General features: G+C 40.5%; 1 protein-coding gene and 1 long non-coding RNA gene across 5 annotated transcripts in view; one reads left to right on the top strand and one right to left on the bottom strand.

Moving 5' to 3' along the window:
• Positions 1–17,349, top strand: part of GCLC (glutamate-cysteine ligase catalytic subunit) — a 47,761-nt gene that overhangs the window by 21,027 nt on the left and 9,385 nt on the right. Inside the window, exons 2-10 of one of the 2 annotated variants that reach the window (NM_001498.4) lie at positions 1,548–1,660; positions 3,115–3,297; positions 7,853–7,966; positions 9,578–9,636; positions 9,738–9,871; positions 14,825–14,899; positions 15,364–15,480; positions 16,457–16,595; positions 17,050–17,162. In NM_001498.4, the coding sequence (NP_001489.1) occupies positions 1,548–1,660; positions 3,115–3,297; positions 7,853–7,966; positions 9,578–9,636; positions 9,738–9,871; positions 14,825–14,899; positions 15,364–15,480; positions 16,457–16,595; positions 17,050–17,162 (1,047 nt within the window). The remainder of the gene's footprint in view (positions 1–1,547; positions 1,661–3,114; positions 3,298–7,852; positions 7,967–9,577; positions 9,637–9,737; positions 9,872–14,824; positions 14,900–15,363; positions 15,481–16,456; positions 16,596–17,049; positions 17,163–17,349) is intronic. The other variant, NM_001197115.2, reaches the window with a different exon arrangement.
• Positions 17,164–17,349, bottom strand: part of GCLC-AS1 (GCLC antisense RNA 1) — a 75,418-nt gene continuing 75,232 nt past the window's right edge. For all 3 annotated transcript variants that reach the window (NR_183318.1, NR_183319.1, NR_183320.1), the window contains one exon: positions 17,164–17,277. This is a non-coding gene — a long non-coding RNA (GCLC antisense RNA 1). The remainder of the gene's footprint in view (positions 17,278–17,349) is intronic.

The following is a 17,349-nucleotide window of genomic DNA, read 5'->3' as shown; positions in this document are numbered from 1 at the left end:
AGTTTTCTGTTTCCAGGTTTTAGCTGTTCCGGAGTCACAGATCTATAGATGGTATCTTGCAACCTGTAATTGTTGTTGCGAACAGTTCCAGATTCTGCAGCCTAGTTTTTAGTCAGCTGACACTGAGTGATTCTGCAGGTGGAGATCTCATGTTTCTGGTTCGTGTACCCAAATCAAGCAGACTTTTCCATTTCTTGAGCTAAAAGATTCTGATGAGAGCTAATAAACGTTAACTGAAAGTTTATTTTGTTGTTGTTTAAATCTGCTAGGCTATCTCCTACAGTTACTAACATTTTTTTCCTCTTTATAATCATATTACTTAGCCCTTAATGTTTCTGTGATGAGGACGGCTGACTCAAATGCCTTCCAAGACCAGGGAAATACACATAAATAAGGGAATAAACTGCAGACAGTGTGCACCCCTGAAAAGCAAACAGCCCAGTCACACAGTCACAGGCTTCGTGCTGGGCTTCTGGGTATTGTTTTAAGACTGAGAACCTAGATTTACATGTGAAATATCTGGGAAATAGTGGATATACGGTTGCCTGCCTTTTTATTTTTTCTAAACTACTATTGTAGGCCAAACCAAATACACTGTAGCCTGGTTTGCCTTGTGAGGAATCAGTTTCCTACCTCTGTAGTAATTGTATTGGTGCCATGTGCAAAGGGTACTTTCAAGGGCTTGCCTGAATAATTCTGTATCTTTTCACTTATATATGGATAATGGATGTTTTGTTTCCATCACACACAGTGATTCATAATCTTCACTGCTCACGCCAACTGTCATGATTGAAAGCTTGTAACTTCAGGAAAAACAAAAGTAGGTTCTAGTTGTATTCTGCCCAGAAGTCTGACTTTGTGTTTATGTCCTTTATTTTTACTAGAATTCCACGAGGTATTGTTAATAAATGTACTAGTGCACCCTGCATTGCAAATTTTATATGGTTTCAGAGTGGAGAAGTTGCCTTAAATTACTTGAGATAAACCAAAATTAAATTGTTGAAACCCCTCAAATAACTTCTCCACACGGTATATTTATGATTATGATTTAACTCTCCAAAAGTGGGACTGGTAGTGGGATTATGAAAGTGTAATCTACCTTACTTATTACTCTGCCAGTAAGTAAGTGTAATCTACCTTGACTGGAATGTCCAGATAACCTCTTTCTTAAACTTATAGTAAGCCAACTGAGGAAATAAATTTTAAAATGCAGCTTCTTTTTTACAACAGCAATTTACAGAATCTTTGCTTCAAAACACATCTTTTTTTTGAAGTACAGCTTGTCAAAATGGGTATCGACCTTTCCATAGGATATTAAGTAGGACAGAGGAAAGAAGGGATGGAAGTGGCACTACTGACTGATCCTTTCTACAGGTTTCCATATTATGCATATGAACACTTATGTGCTGTACTGTAAACAAATGTGACTGTCTGGAGTTACTGTGGATCCTTTACAGACTTCACGTTTCCCTGCCTTTTTCTTCTGGAGGCCACACTGAAAACAAGTCTGGAAGAATGTTAATTTTTCTCACCTTTATTTTCAATAGGTGGAATACATGTTGGTATCTTTTGATCATGAAAATAAAAAAGTCCGGTTGGTCCTGTCTGGGGAGAAAGTTCTTGAAACTCTGCAAGAGAAGGGGGAAAGGACAAACCCAAAGTAAGCTCTCATGTGCTGATTTAGTGTTTCTGAAACTGCTAAAACTTCTAGAATATAGAGTTTTTTCTCAATTATTGGAGGCAGGATAGCCTAACAGTTAAGAGTACAGGCTCTGGTTTCAGGTTGCCATAGTTTCAAATCATGGTTCCTTTACTCAATAGCTGAATAACCTTGGGCAAGTTACTTAACTTTTCTGTGCCTCAGTTCTCTCATCTGTAAAGTAAAGATCATAGCAATACCTACCTAAGGTGTTGGAATTAAATACATTAATATATGAAGCACTTTGTACAGTAAACTAAATATAAAGCCTGTTTTTTATTAAAACATTTTTGGGAAAAAATGTATTGCAGAAGCGTATAACTGGGATCACAAACCATGATGCAAGATATAAGTTGCAGATGGGCTTTGTTTGGCTTTGTTTGGCTGGCATGATTTTTTTTTGAGACGGAGTCTCACTCTGTCGTCCGGGCTGGAGTGCAGTGGCACGATCTCAGCTCACTGCAAGCTCCACCTCCTGGCTTCACGCCATTCTCCTGCCTCACCCTCCCGAGTAGCTGGGACTACAGGCGCCCGCCACCACGCCTGGCTAATTTTTTGTATTTTTAGTAGAGACGGGGGTTTCACCGTGTTAGCCAGGATGGTCTCCATTTCCTGACCTCATGATCTGCCCGCCTCAGCCTCCCAAAGTGCTGGGATTACAAGCATGAGCCACCGCACCCGGCCTGGTGTGTTTTTAAGGTATTCCTACATTTAAGTAGACAGAGACGGGGAGGGGAGGGGAATATATACTCCTCTGCTCATTTTCCACTCATTCGTTTTGGGGAAGCTGCATTTGAGTTTGGAGGGCAGCACTGAATTGAAAGAACCCTTAAGGCCTCATCTCCTTCTCTGCAGAGTAGGTTAGTTTGTCCTGGACAGTGAGTGCTCTGTGTGCATTTTCAGTTACTTATAAAGATTTTGGGTTGGGCATGGTGGCTCATGCCTGTAATCCCAGCACTTTGGGAGGCCGAGGCAGGCAGATCACTTAAGGCCAGGAGTTCAAGACCAGCCTGGCTAACACGGTGAAACCCCATCTCTACTAAAAATACAAAAATTAGCCAGGTGTGGTAGGGCACACCTGTGATCCCAGCTACACAGGAGGCTGAGGCACAAGAATCACTTGGACCTGGGAGGCAGAGGTTGCAGTAAGCCAAGATCGTGCCATTGCACTCCAGCCTGGGTGACAGAGCGAGACTCTGTCTCAAAAGAAAAAAAACATTTTGGACCCAATACTTGTTGACCCTTATGTAGTTGAATAGCTATGGAAAAGTAATAATCACTGAGAACTGTGAAGGACTTCTTAGCTTCATTTATACCTAATGGTTTCTACACTTTTAAAGCAACTTTAAAAACTTAAAAATTGAGCAGACTATAGCAAAAGAATAAGATGGAACTAAGTTATTTCTCCTCCGTAGCCATCCTACCCTTTGGAGACCAGAGTATGGGAGTTACATGATTGAAGGGACACCAGGACAGCCCTACGGAGGAACAATGTCCGAGTTCAATACAGTTGAGGCCAACATGCGAAAACGCCGGAAGGAGGCTACTTCTATATTAGAAGAAAATCAGGCTCTTTGCACAATAACTTCATTTCCCAGGTTAGTTCCTATATTAACATGCCCCAGCAGATCTCTCAGAGATACAGGTAATGAAAAGAGCAAGTCACGACCCGGGCATTCCACCTTACAATCCTCATACGTTACAGATGGTTTATCTTTTATAGACTGCACTTGATAGACTCTGTAACAGTAGAGCTGCAGACACAGTTGCATGCCAGCTTCTGTCAGCTGTGGTGGCTGCACCGTGGTGAGTGCACTCAGTGGGGGCTCAGTGGGAAAGACCAGGATACTGTGATGACAGACCAGCAGTGTGGCCGTGTCTGCCGCAGGCGAGGGTGGAGGGAGCAGCACGCCTGCCACACAGTTCTGACCCTGTAAGCAGTAGCCAAAGCTTCTGGAATGCTGTCCCCTGGTGACTGTGACAGTTGCGCCCTCATGCACTTTCAAAAAGCAGCATTTACCTGCTAGCATATGGTGGCATCAGTGGCAGATCAGAGGATCTGCAGTGCTCCCAAAGCACTATCGATACCGATGCTCTATGAACAACGTGAGTCATTAGGTCCTTGCATATTGTTCTGAAAAGAAGATTTAGGGTTTGTCATCAAATCTAGTTATGACCAAAAGTACATAAAAGTAAATAGTGAAATTATGTTCTTCGCTTAGAATGAGGTACATGAATATCATATGTATTATACATAGAACCTCTATGTAAAAATACATTTCTGCCAAAACATGAATGTGATTTATCTATGCTAGATGTCTGTCAGATGGTGACAGTATACTTAGCTCCTCAAAGTTCAAAGGAGCTCTGGGGGTTGGTATCAATGGTGGAGAACACTTTGAACTATTTTTATACCTTTTCTCTGATACGTGTCCGTCAGCCATTCAGGGTCATATCATTGGCCTCAGAGGGGCATTTAAATGGGAATTCTATTTTTTTTTTTATATCTCTACTGTAACATCTAAATAGTTGAAAACTTATTTAAGCCAGCCATCTAACATTTATAGAAGCATCTCTATTTCTGTGATACCTTCATTCTGTATGTACAGGTCACTTCTCTCTCCACCCCCAGAAGGAAAAACCCAGCTGGGTGAGGGTGGACAGATTTGTTTTGATTAGAGTGGGCACATTTCTTCGACCTAATGTTTGAAAGAGGAGGTGAAAAATCATTGGCCCTGCCATTCACTCAGACACTTGAGTGCCTGCTGCAGGCAGAATGGGCATGCTCTCATGAGTGAAGACGGACAGCTCTGTCTCTGTGGAGCTGGGGGGTTGAAGAACAATCAAATACCCATAGATTCATAAGCGTCAAAGTGGGGCTGTGCTAGCAGGAGGAGATGGGGAGCAAAGAGTACAACCTAGGTATCCAGTGGACTCTGGTGGGTGGAGGGGGAGGGGGTGGGATGTCCAAGGTTCCAGGAGGAGTGAAATAGGAATGAGGAGCGGAGGACAGTCTTAGGGAGGGGGAGCAGTGTGTGTAGAAGTCCTAGGATGAACCAAACAAGCGGGGACTTCCTGGGAACTAGAAGAAAGCAAGCTGGCCAGTGTGACTAGGAGGCTGAGGAGGAAGTGCAGGTATGGGGTAAAGGGAAGCTGGCAGGTAATTGGCAGGCCAGGTCAGGTTAACCATAAATTTTAGTTGTTCTCCTAAAAGCAGTTGAAGGCCTTGGAAAGGTTGGGTTGGGCAGATGGCATCCCCTTTTTGCTTTGCAGCCCTCACTTGGGCTGTAGTGTGAGAGTAGCTGTGGAGCTGGTGCCAGGGCTTACTAGGAGGTGAGTGAGGGAGCTCCCTGAGGGGAGACAAGGGCTGCCTGGATGCCCGTGGGTGCTGGTGATAGGAAAAGTGGGTGGTTTAAAAGATGACAGAGTCAGTGAACTGCTGGGGAGAGAAGACACATCAAGGCTTTTGCTATAGGTCATTGTCCTGAAAACCTTAAGAGTACTAGAGTAGAGGCCAAGGAGTAGGTTACAGATGTTAAATGACAACTTCTAGTGAACTGGAAAATTTAATACCTTATATGTTCATTTTTTTCCCCTTAACATTAAGAGGGTTGTACATTTCACTTAGCAAATTAAGAAAGTGGGAGGGGATTTGTAACACAAACCAGAACTGTTTTATATATTAAAGCTGAAGAATATATAGGATTGATGGGCAGTGGTGTTTCCTTCTGGGCCAGAAAATAAAGTTTTGGGTTAAGCCTAATGTGCCCTTTACCTTGAGAATGGTTCCATATGGGATAGTTGCCTTTTTAAAAAAGATTTAGTGTCTGGGCATGGTGTCTTACACCTGTAATCCCAGCACTTTGGGAGGCCGAGGCAGGCGGATCACCTGAAGTCAGGAGTTCGAGACCAGCCTGGCCAACATGGTGAAACCCCGTCTTTACAAAAAATACAAAAATTAGCCAGGTATGGTGGCATGCGCCTGTAATCCCAGCTACTCCGGAGGCTGAGGCAGGAGAACCGCTTGAACCTGGGAGGTGGAGGTTGCAGTGAGCTGAGATTGTGCCGCTCTGCTCCAGCCTGGGTGACAAAGCAAGCCTCCGTCTCAAAATAAATAAATAAATAAAAATAAAAAGATTCAGCATCTTAAGTCATTGTGAAGGGAAAGTTGAGACAGAGGAATAAGCTTTATTCTAAAAACCTGTAATTTAGAAAAAATTATATGTATAATTTTTTATACCCTGTCCATATAGGAAGGTATTTTGGGACTTGAAACAATAATTATTAGTTATTTAGTGGTTAGAAGCCTCCCTATACATCCACAATAAATGATAAAGTTTTGTTGTAGTATAGGATCAAGAGAGAAAGGAGTGCTCTGGTTCTTAAGTGTAAACAGGGTGACTTTATAAAGATGCAAAGATTTATAGTGTGGAACTCTAGTCCAAAACAGTAATCATGTGACTATTTAAAATTAAAATTATATAAAATGAAAATTGTAGTTCCTGATGTGACTGAGGAACTAGCCTCATTTCAAGGGCTCAGTAGCCACGTGGTTAGTGACTACCACATCGGTTTGGATAGTGGAGATATTAAACATTTCCATCACTCCAGAAAGTTCTGTGGGACAGCACTGCTCTAGAATGAAGCAGTGCCGTAGGTGTCCGAAGATGCAAGTTCTGATTCTACCTTCTCCCTTCCACACAAACACATTCTCATTCTCTCTTCATCCAATCTGATTCTGGTGAGCAAGGAATCCCCTCAGATTTAAGTTTATTACTCTCCCAAAGGACTATTCCTAAGGTTCTAGGCTCATAGTAAATAATGCACATAGCTTCAAGAATTCTCAAGAACCCTTGTAGCTGGGAACTGTTTTCTAGATAAGATCACTACCTTCAATTGTTTACAAGGTGGATTTGGGCAGGCAACAGATACTTTATTTTATATTAAGAAAAGGTAGGGGTTAAAAATAAGGCATTGATGGCCAGGTGAGGTGGCACGTGCTTGTAATCCCAGTACTTTAGGAGGCTGAGGCAGAAGGATTACTGGAGCCTAGGAGTTAAAGACCATTCTGGGTAGCATAGTGAGACCTCGTCCCTGGAAAAAAAAAAAAAAAAAAAAAAAAAAAACTTGGTACAGTGACTCATGCCTGTAATCCCAGCTACTCAGGAGCCTGAGGCAGGAGGATGACTTGAGCCCAGGAGTTCAAGGCTGCACTGAGCTATGATTGCACCACTGCACTCCAGCCTGGGAGACAGAGCAAGACCCTTTCTCAGAAAAAAAAAAAAAAAAAAAAAAATTTTTTTTTAAAAGATATGAGCTAGTCTTGATCCTCAAGCCAAAAGTTTCTTCCCACTAATTTAAAACTCCTCCCTTGTTTGGCTTTCGCTTAGTCTTTGTCCTCCCTCACAGCACATGTAATATTGACCTCAAATTCCTAACTTGGAAAAACTGGGGCCATCACTAAAAGTGATGTAGAATTTGAGCTTTACACTTAGGAATAAATATGGAGCTTCATTTTTCTGTGTTGAAATTAGAGCTCCTTAAGTCAAGTAAGAGAATAGGATTGGGTTTCAGACTTCAGAGGGTGATCTCAGGGGTAGATGGGGACACCTGCAGAGACACTCCCTAATCTTGAGGGACTCATGAGGTGACCTATAGAGGCAAAAAACAGGCTCCTTCCAGATTCAGAGCCTACCAGGAAGTGGGAGGCAGTGGTGCCATGCAGCAGGTCCAAAGATAATCTGAGAGTTTAGAGATGGAAAAGGAAGACACCTCATAGGCCATGTAGGGGACACCTGTCACCCATGACAGCTGATGTGACCAAGGGAAATGACTTCTGTGCTATCAGTCCTTCCTATTAGATGAAGAGATGGAGAGGACCCGAGTAAGTGCTGTGTGGTTTGTGAGTGAGTGGAGACTTGGATAAAGTTAGTAGTGGGCTGGAATTAAAAGAAGATCCTTGTGAGCAAGAAGTGTGGGGAGTGGTTGTAAAGGGGCACAGTATTTACACAACATCTGTTTTGTAAACACAAAGCCCTCTGAAAAGGGGATACTAGAAATGAGGTGTCTTTGGCAGGTGCAGTGATGGCAAGACTGCACACAATTAATTCTTGAAAACAAATCCCATCTATTTAGTTCTTCAATTTGTTGTAGATTAGGCTGTCCTGGGTTCACACTGCCCGAGGTCAAACCCAACCCAGTGGAAGGAGGAGCTTCCAAGTCCCTCTTCTTTCCAGATGAAGCAATAAACAAGCACCCTCGCTTCAGGTGAGTATGGCTTTGTGTTGAAATGCAGATGCCCTTCACTAGACCCCTGACTTCTGAGAGTATAGTATTTCTGTCTAGAAATCCTTTTTGAGCATTAACTGAGTTTTGGCTCTCTTCCTAAGTAACCAGAGAAGATAGCAGATGTGCACCTGTTCACATCTTCAGTACCCCCAGGCTTCTTGGTTGTTGATGCGTGCACCAGGCTTGATTTGTCAATTCTCCAAGTCGTCACAAAGTTATTCGCTGAGCCACTGCGAATAACTCTTTTAATAGGGAGATTATTTTCAGTCCTAGGTCTGTAAATGCCTACTGGGATTTTTTTTTTCTCTTAGTTATTTCTCCTTTTTTGTCCTCTCTAACCATCAGTATCTGTGATTTGCCCATCTTACTCTATATAACTTATAAAATAGGTGCAGTACCTGATATATATAATAGGCACTCTCTTCCATTAACTTCAAGTTCTGTTGGTTTGTTGTTCAATTCTGAGGTTTTAAGTTGCTTTAAGGCTCTCACTAGCCTGATCTTAGCTTTGTACAATGCATGCTCATCTGTCATCCTGAGCCTAGGCTCCTGATCCAGAGTGGGAACATGGAGACTTCTCAGCGTTCATTCCTTTAACAGGCCCTCACGTTTGCTATGTGCAGAGCCTTTTGGGGAAGACAGATATTTGTAGACGTAGTTTCTAACTTCATATGTTGTCATGTGTTTAAAGGAAAATAAAAATAATTCAGCTGCTCAAGAAGAGATAGATTATGACAGATGTCAAAAGATGCACCAGAAATCCTTCTTGGAGAAAGTAAGGTGCTTCTGACTGAGGGAATCAAAGCAGGCTTCACGGAAGAGGTGGCATTTAAGCTGAGTCTATAGCAGCACTGCCCATAGAAACATGTAATTGTAAATGTTCTCATAGCCACATTAAAGTAAAAACCAGATGAACATAATTTTATATTTTGTTTAACCCAAAACGTCCAAAAATGTTATCATTTGATCCATGTAATCCTTTACTCACAAGTAATTTTACATTTTTTTTGTACGGAGTCTTCAAAATCTGGTGTATATTTTACTCTCACAGCATGTGCATGTTTTCATTAGGACAAGCCATATTTCAAGTACTCAGTGGCCACTGTGTGCCTGGTAGCTTCTGGACTAAACAAGCATGAGTCTGGAGGATAATTATTAATCCTGCAGAGATGAGGGAGGGAGGAGCAAGGTATTGGGGCTCCAGAGATGCCTGGGCAAAGTGGGTACTAAAGTTTGACCAAAGTCTTTGGAGTTAATTTGGGACATGTTGCAAACAGTGAAAGCAGACCATGGCAGACTTTGAACACCTGAATTGATTTGGTAAGTTACAGGGAGCCTTGGGAGCAGGGGTTGAGCAGGAGACAGAACGGCATTCTCGAGCAGGAGCCAAAGAATTGATACTAATGCAAAATCTTTAATCACAAAGTTCCCTTGTAGTGTCTTGACACCACAGATACATTTTCTGTTGAGTTGTCTTAGATAACTAATTTGAGGTATGATTTCATTCCACTTACTTGTATGTAATCAAATTCTTCTTTTACACGATGACTCTTAGGTGACCAATTTATGACGTTTGGTTGTCTGTTTTAGTACCTTAACAAGAAATATCCGACATAGGAGAGGAGAAAAGGTTGTCATCAATGTACCAAGTAAGTCTACTGAGAGGTGGTGGGGTGGGAGAGAGACATGTTGTATTGTTGTTTAATCCTGGATTCTAAACCATTTTTATTTTTGTATTTTTATAATACAGTATTTAAGGACAAGAATACACCATCTCCATTTATAGAAACATTTACTGAGGATGATGAAGCTTCAAGGGCTTCTAAGCCGGATCATATTTACATGGATGCCATGGGATTTGGAATGGGCAATTGCTGTCTCCAGGTATAGTTTCAAATATACAGAGAGGCAAAGTGTTCCATCCATTTCTGTTTTTTAACTTCTTTATATATGCATGTTTCCTGTTCCAAAAATCACATTTTAATGAGGTTGAAATGGTAGCTGGTATGCCTTTCTGAAAAACATGAAGTTATATTAGTAAATTCATTGGAAGCTGTCTATGACTAATAGTTCTACAGACTCTGTTGTTCACCACAAAGGTATATACGGTATATATACCTTTATAACTGTAATTTCAGTTAACTTAAAATGCAATATATTCTGTCATTGTTTCCCTTCTCTTTTTATATGCCTAGTTTTTACTGCCATCTCGTGACAGGCTAGTGAGGTGGTTTAAATATTGTTCAAAACTCTGAAAATGAGCTCTGATGGAAGTATTCCAATGATTTTGTGATCCAAGGGATTTGTGCAAAGCTGTCTAGCGGTACAAAAAGAATAAATATTTAGCAGCTTGTGTTTGTCTTGCCCCTGAGTAAAGTATACAGGAGCCTGTCTCTGTTTACCCATTTAAAAATTTTCCTGGATCTGTTTAAATGATGGTGCCCCTGGCAGTGAGTGTGTCCAAGCTCACTTAGGACCAGAGTGGAAGAGCATGGAACCCATCAGGTGGCCACACAAAAGCCTGCAGTTGGCTTTTGGCTCTGTCACTACTCAGGTTTTTGGGCAACTCCCTTTACTTCTTTTGGCTCAGATTTTTCATCAGTTGAAAGAAGGGCTGATATTAAGTCCCCTTCTAGGTCTGACTCTAAGCTAATATTTATTTTATTGCCTTAACTAACAGAAGTAAAAGAGAGAGGCTGCTTGTTATTTAATGTCCAAGGAAATTTTATCCAGTTGTGATTACTTCAGCTGATTCAAAACAGCGTCCTTAGAGGCACAGGGCCGTGCAGAGCCTGGACCCATGTAAGACCCCTCTGAGCCGCCAGCCTGACTGCTCTCAGTGCAAAGACCCAGAACCCAGCCTTCCTTCACCTGAAACAGCTGCAGCGTGCACACACACTTCTTGTGCATATATCTCTGGTCTATTTATTTTCAAAACTAAGTATAATCCAAATTGAATGCTGGAATCAGATTTTTCCATTCTGAATGTGTTTAAATAACATGGCCAAGGATAATTTCTTTCTGTTTTCTTGACATTTATAGGTAGTATAAGATATGTGACTTCCAAATAAACATAAACCATCACACTTCACGAAAAAAGAGATCTTTCGACTTTTAACTGCCTGTTTCCTATCTTAATTACAAGTATTTCTAAAGAAAACCATTAAGTTCTAGAGCTTACAGTACATGGTTTTAAAATTGTATAAGTGCTGTTAAGAGTATTGATTGCCTTTTCTTGGTTTAATATTAAACCAGGGTGTTCTGCCGAAGACCGCATAGTTTCTCTGATATGGTTCCAAAGGGATATTCTTTCCACTGAAACACTGTATGTATACTAGTAAATGCTTCCTAATGGTAGATGATAAATATTTTTGTTGCTTGTAGATAGAATTTTTCCATCTAGTGTAAGCTTAGGATTGTTTTCTTTTTCCCAGTGACATGTACAGTTTCACTACTCCACTTAAAAAAAATCGTTAGCTCAGATAAAGTGTGTGGCACATGAAATGAATTTTGCCAATTCACCACCGAAATCCCTGCTTTATATCTCTTCAGTGGAACACTAAACCAACTTCTTTCCCAAGTACACTGATTTGATCTTTACAAATTATATGAATGTATTAAATTATCACATGTGCCCTGAAACTGTGTACATCTATTATGTATCATTAGAGAGATGGAAAAAAAAAAAAGAAACTGCTTAGTAAAGTAGAAAAAATAGTTTTAAAGTAATTTTGTAAGGCTAATGGAAGACTTACTGTATAAAGCAAAAAGGATTTTAACCACATTCAAATTATTGACTGTTTTGGGGCTTTTCAGGAATCACTTAAAAAGCACCAAGTTCACAGCCAGGCACGGTGGCTCATGCCTGTAATCCCAGCACTTTGGGAGGCTGAGATGGGCAGATCACTTGAGGTCAGGAGTTTGAGACAAGCCTGGTCATCATGGCAAAATCTCATCTCTACTAAAAATACAAAAATTAGACCTGGTGGCATGTGCCTGTAATCCCAGCTACTGAGGAGTCTGAGGCATGAGAAACGCTTGAACCTGGGAGGCGGAGGTTGCAGTGAGCCAAGATCGTGCCACTGCATTCCAGCCTGGGGAACAGAGCAAGTCTTTGTCTCAAAAAAAAAAAAAAAAAAAGCACTAAGTTCATGACAGGTTATGGTAGCCCCTCCCACCCCCCCCCCCAAAGTCATGTGACTTCAAATCTGGGTTGTAGATAAAGTTTAGATTAGATGTTTCAGTTTCTAACATATATGTTCCTTAGTTCCTCCCTCCACCCCCAACCCCACCCCCATCAGTTTCCTAGCAACATTGTGTGTCTCCTTCATATGATGCCTCAAAACGACACTAGAAGCCCAAATTAGTCATGTATTCATAGCTTTTTAAGGTATAAGAACTTTTTTTCCTTCCATTAAAGCCATTATCCACAGTGATGTCCTATTTAATTTGATTGCATATCAGCTGTAGACTAAGAAAGCTAATTACTAAATGCATTTAAAATAACTAAGTCACTTCACTGTTGTATACTTCTCTGGGGTTGAATTTCCCAGGATTCACCTACGAATTATGTATTGTATACTAGGCCATCTAAGAGAAGCCAGTTGAAAAACTGGAAAGAAAACCTGCTTCTCATAGTATCTTTTTAAAAACAAAAATGACACATACTCAAATACCTAAGAGCAACACAAAAAAGACCTAAAAAATCTAAGAGATGCATGTTCAAAATAATTCTTTAGTCAAAATACTTGGGAAACATGTAGTTTTTTGTTTTTTGGTTTTTTTAAAATCTCAATGCCTTGTCAGTTTGGCTTTTGGGGTCCCGGTCTTTCAGGTTTCTCACTATACCTTTGACCGCATGTCATCCTCTTTAGCACCCCCCCCCCACTTTTTTTTTTCCAAGATTCTCATTTGTTAAGCACTAACCAGGTATCAGATGCTGTCCTGCGCACTTGGGATAGAGAATGGGAAGAAAGATCCCCGCCCTTCTGGAGCTTCTACTTCAGCAAATAAGTGCATAAAGACTTTGGGTACCAGCTCCCATTTCCTCACTGCTCATGTAATTTCATGCCATATGCAAAGCGATTTCCAAGTTCCCACCTCTTTGCAGAAACTGCCCTTGGTTTGGTTATCAGTGACTTAATTGCCAACCCTTATCAATTTGTGTCTACTTTAACCTTTGAAACTCTTATTCTTTGATGCCTATGACACAGCTTTTCTCTGTGTTGAATTAATTATTAAATTAGTAATGACTAGTTAATACAGTCTCCACATTGACATGAAATGTGGTTATAATTGAGCAGGCAAACTTGAGTCTCCAATAGACATTGCTGTGGAAAACAAAGTTGAGATCTAGCTAAAACCATTGGAACTAACAGGTTGAGATTATAACAGTAAAATATTCACTTAGCTGCTGTTATTTCAAGTCTTAAACACTGAAATTATGTCGTGTACCAACACTAAATTCAAGCTGTCATTAATGAATAACAACATGAAATTCAAACTGTCATTATTGAATAACAACAGAGGAGATTAAAACTGTTCCCAACTTGCAGTTATTACAAATGTGCTAACAAACACAATTTGTGTTCCTTGCCCCTTCTACCGTCTTGGAAAAAAAAGCAGGTTTTTTTTTTTTTGGTTTCTGTTGGGTAACAAAGAATTTATGCTCACCAAGTTATATGATCTTTTCTCTGCCTAACTCTTAAGTGTCCTACCTACCATCCTTGTGCAGGCTTCCTGGGTGATCTCCCCATCTTCAGGACATTCTCTGAGCCTACTCCCCAGGTCTTTCTACAACTCGGGTTTTTCTTCTGGGCACCAGCCCTGAAGACCTAGCCACTTAGAGGGCCTCTTTTTCTGTCTGTTCTCTTGGCCTCGTAAGTCCATCATGTCATGACACCTCTTTATCTCTAACCTCTGAACACCCAAGCCAAAACCTAAGCCATCCCCTACTCTCAGTCTCCCCTTGGTCACCAGTGCCTGCTACTTTGACTTTAGTATCACTCTCCCCACATCTTTCCTCAGCCTTTTCCTTGACAGGTGCAGTATTTTAACTGCTTCCCTGTCTTTCTAGTCTTTCCCCCTTCCAAGCTCTTCACCATACTGCCACCAGTGAAGTTTGAAAACAATAGTTGGCCGGACGCGGTGGCTCACGCCTGTAATCCCAGCATTTTGGGAGGCCGAGGCAAGCAGATCATGAGGTCAGGAGATCGAGACCATCCTGGCTAACACGGTGAAACCCCATCTCTACTAAAAATACAAAAACAAAATTAGCCAGTCGTGGTGGTGGGCACCTGTAGTCCCAGCTACTCGGGAGGCTGAGGCGGAAGAATGGCGTGAACCCAGGAGGTGGAGCTTTCAGTGAGCCGAGAGCGCGCCACTGCACCCCAGCCTGGGCGACAGAGTGAGACTCCATCTCAAAAAAATAAAAGGAAGAAAGAAAGAAAACAATAGTTAACATGTCCAAATCCCTTTTGCATCCCTCACTGACTGAAGGGATAGGAAGGCAACAAGCCAGTAGAAGAGAAAATGCTTTGCTAAACATCATCGTATGTCTGTGTCTTATTTTTCTTTTTTGACTATTTAATCTTATTTCACTTAGGACCTTGGTTATTTATATTAGTTGTCTATAGGCAGTGGAACATAATTAAATACCATTTTCTAGTTAAATTCACCTAAGACAACTTTTAAACAAAACTCTTGCGTTAAATGTTGCCATTAATGAAGCGTTGTTAACTTGCCCCTCTCTGCCCAGCACCTTCCTTCTCTGACTTCACTGCTTGGGGAGCATGCTAATGATTCCTTGGTGTTAATAACTTTGCAATTCTTAAACAGGTGACATTCCAAGCCTGCAGTATATCTGAGGCCAGATACCTTTATGATCAGTTGGCTACTATCTGTCCAATTGTTGTAAGTAGAAATTACCTCTTATTTTAAATACTACTTCGTATGAAATAAGATAGCATGTGCAGAATTTACTGACAGTGTGCTATTTAAGTCCAGTTAAGACCTCAGTCAGAGATGGACTAATATAAATAGTATGTAGGTTTAGGTATAATGAACTGAGAGTCTACACTGTAGAAGTTTACTCTTGCTAGTACAACATTGATTTGTTAAATGTGAAGTTTGAATGTGGCCATTTTCCCTCCCCCATACTTCATGTCCTCACATTAGAGAGAGGATGATTTAAGTGAATCAAACCCAAGGAACTGGATTCTTCCTGGTATATTTCACTGTAAGATAGGCACAGGTACATGTGCTCTGTATGGGTTGCATAAACATGCTTTTTGATCAGAAATATAACTGCATGGAGCTTTTTTTAGCATGTAAGTGACACTTTGAATTTGCAGGAGCTGACTTTTGTTTGTTTTTAGATGGCTTTGAGTGCTGCATCTCCCTTTTACCGAGGCTATGTGTCAGACATTGATTGTCGCTGGGGAGTGATTTCTGCATCTGTAGATGATAGAACTCGGGAGGAGCGAGGACTGGAGGTGGGAATTGTTTTTCCTTAATAGCCCTTTTAAGTCAAGCAGGTAAAATGGATCTTTTGTAACTACTTGCAATTTCAGGATGTCTCCCTGCAATTTTTATCTGAAATGGGGAAAAAGATTTGGTCTAGGTGGGGAGTTAATTTTTATCGTATGTTGATGTCTGTATTTGTTTTAGCTTCATTTAAAATTAGTAGTCCGATTTTTCTATATTTTGGAAGTGCTGATGGCTGTTTTTACCAAAAGGCTTTTTGGTGCCACATGAGTGTTTTGTATATGGTGCTTTCTGCTGTGGAAAGTATAATTTGTTGTCAGAGATTCTTTTTCCATGTAAAAGGTTAGGCATTGACTAATAAGGGTGAGATGGCACCTCTTGTTTGCATGTTGAACTGTAAAGTAACCCTTGCATCTCTCCAACAAGGGGTGTGCATCAGAACCACCCATGGAAATCTTTGAAAATAGACACCCAGACCCTATCCTAGACCTACTAAATAAGAATCTCTAGGATGGGACCCGAACAAGGGTGTTTTTAAAGGAGCCCTCATAAGTGGTTTTGATATTCTCAACCAGGGCTATACTACTACTGCTCTGGTCTTCATGTAATTGTTCATAAATTGTTGAACATGCTTTCTAAGTAGAAATAAACTTTAAAGGATAATTATTTTGATAGGTTTATCTTACGTTATAGATTTATTTATTTATTTGCTTTTAACCTTAGTATTTATTTTCCCTAGCTTAATAAGAATGAAAGTGATCTGCTTTTAAAAGATAAAAGTATATTTAAATCATACCAGAAAAAAAGGGTATTTAAATTGCCTTCAGATTTTAAAAAACATAATTTTCCTTAATAATACTTTTTAGGGCTCACTAACTTTTTTTCTGTATCTTATGTTGAGGTTTTTATATAATTATCATATATAAAAATATATTCCACTCATTTTATATAGCATATTCATTTATATATATTTTTAATCTTTAGCCATTGAAGAACAATAACTATAGGATCAGTAAATCCCGATATGACTCAATAGACAGCTATTTATCTAAGTGTGGTGAGAAATATAATGACATCGACTTGACGATAGATAAAGAGATCTACGAACAGCTGTTGCAGGAAGGTGGGTTTCTACTCCATCTTTCTGGGTTTGAATGTACGCCTTTAGTTCTTCAAAGCTCTTTTACACTTTTTTGCTGACTCCTGGTCTGGTTTCTATTTTTAGTGCAAAGTCTTTAACTTCTCTCATGAGGCTACTTGTTCCTAAAGTTTCAGGTTCCAAATACTTGTGAGATTTTCTTGATTTTTAGCAAAAGGAGCTTACTTTGGAGGTCTGTGTCTAGGTCCACACCAGTGCCCCAGCAGGCATTGTGTAAGTAGTGAATAAAACGCTGACACTCCCGCAGTGTCCGCAGGATAAAATACTGGGTGAGGTGAGGATACTAATCAAACCAGCTATTTCAAGCTTCTAGACACCCTTTCTTCAAACTTCCTGAGCTATCCTGTCGTCTTTCTGGACTAAGAGGAAGTGGTATCTCTCGCTTTGCAGTGAGTTCCCATGTGATCTCTTTTTGCAGGCATTGATCATCTCCTGGCCCAGCATGTTGCTCATCTCTTTATTAGAGACCCACTGACACTGTTTGAAGAGAAAATACACCTGGATGATGCTAATGAGTCTGACCATTTTGAGGTATCTTCTCAGTTTTATTTTTATTTATTTATGTATTGACTTCTGAGAGTCTGGAATCCTCTGTTTTATATGCATTTCACTTCACAAACCAACATGGGGAGGCAGTTTTCTGTACCTGTGGAGAACACAAAAGAAATTTCATAAGACTTTCATTTACCCAGTGCAGTAAAGAACTTGGACAAATAAA

The sequence above is a fragment of the Homo sapiens genome, chromosome 6, assembly GCF_000001405.40.
Source record: "Homo sapiens chromosome 6, GRCh38.p14 Primary Assembly".
Taxonomy (NCBI): domain Eukaryota; kingdom Metazoa; phylum Chordata; class Mammalia; order Primates; family Hominidae; genus Homo; species Homo sapiens.
Note: the sequence above shows the minus strand (reverse complement) of the source record. Positions and strands in the feature narration are given on the sequence as shown.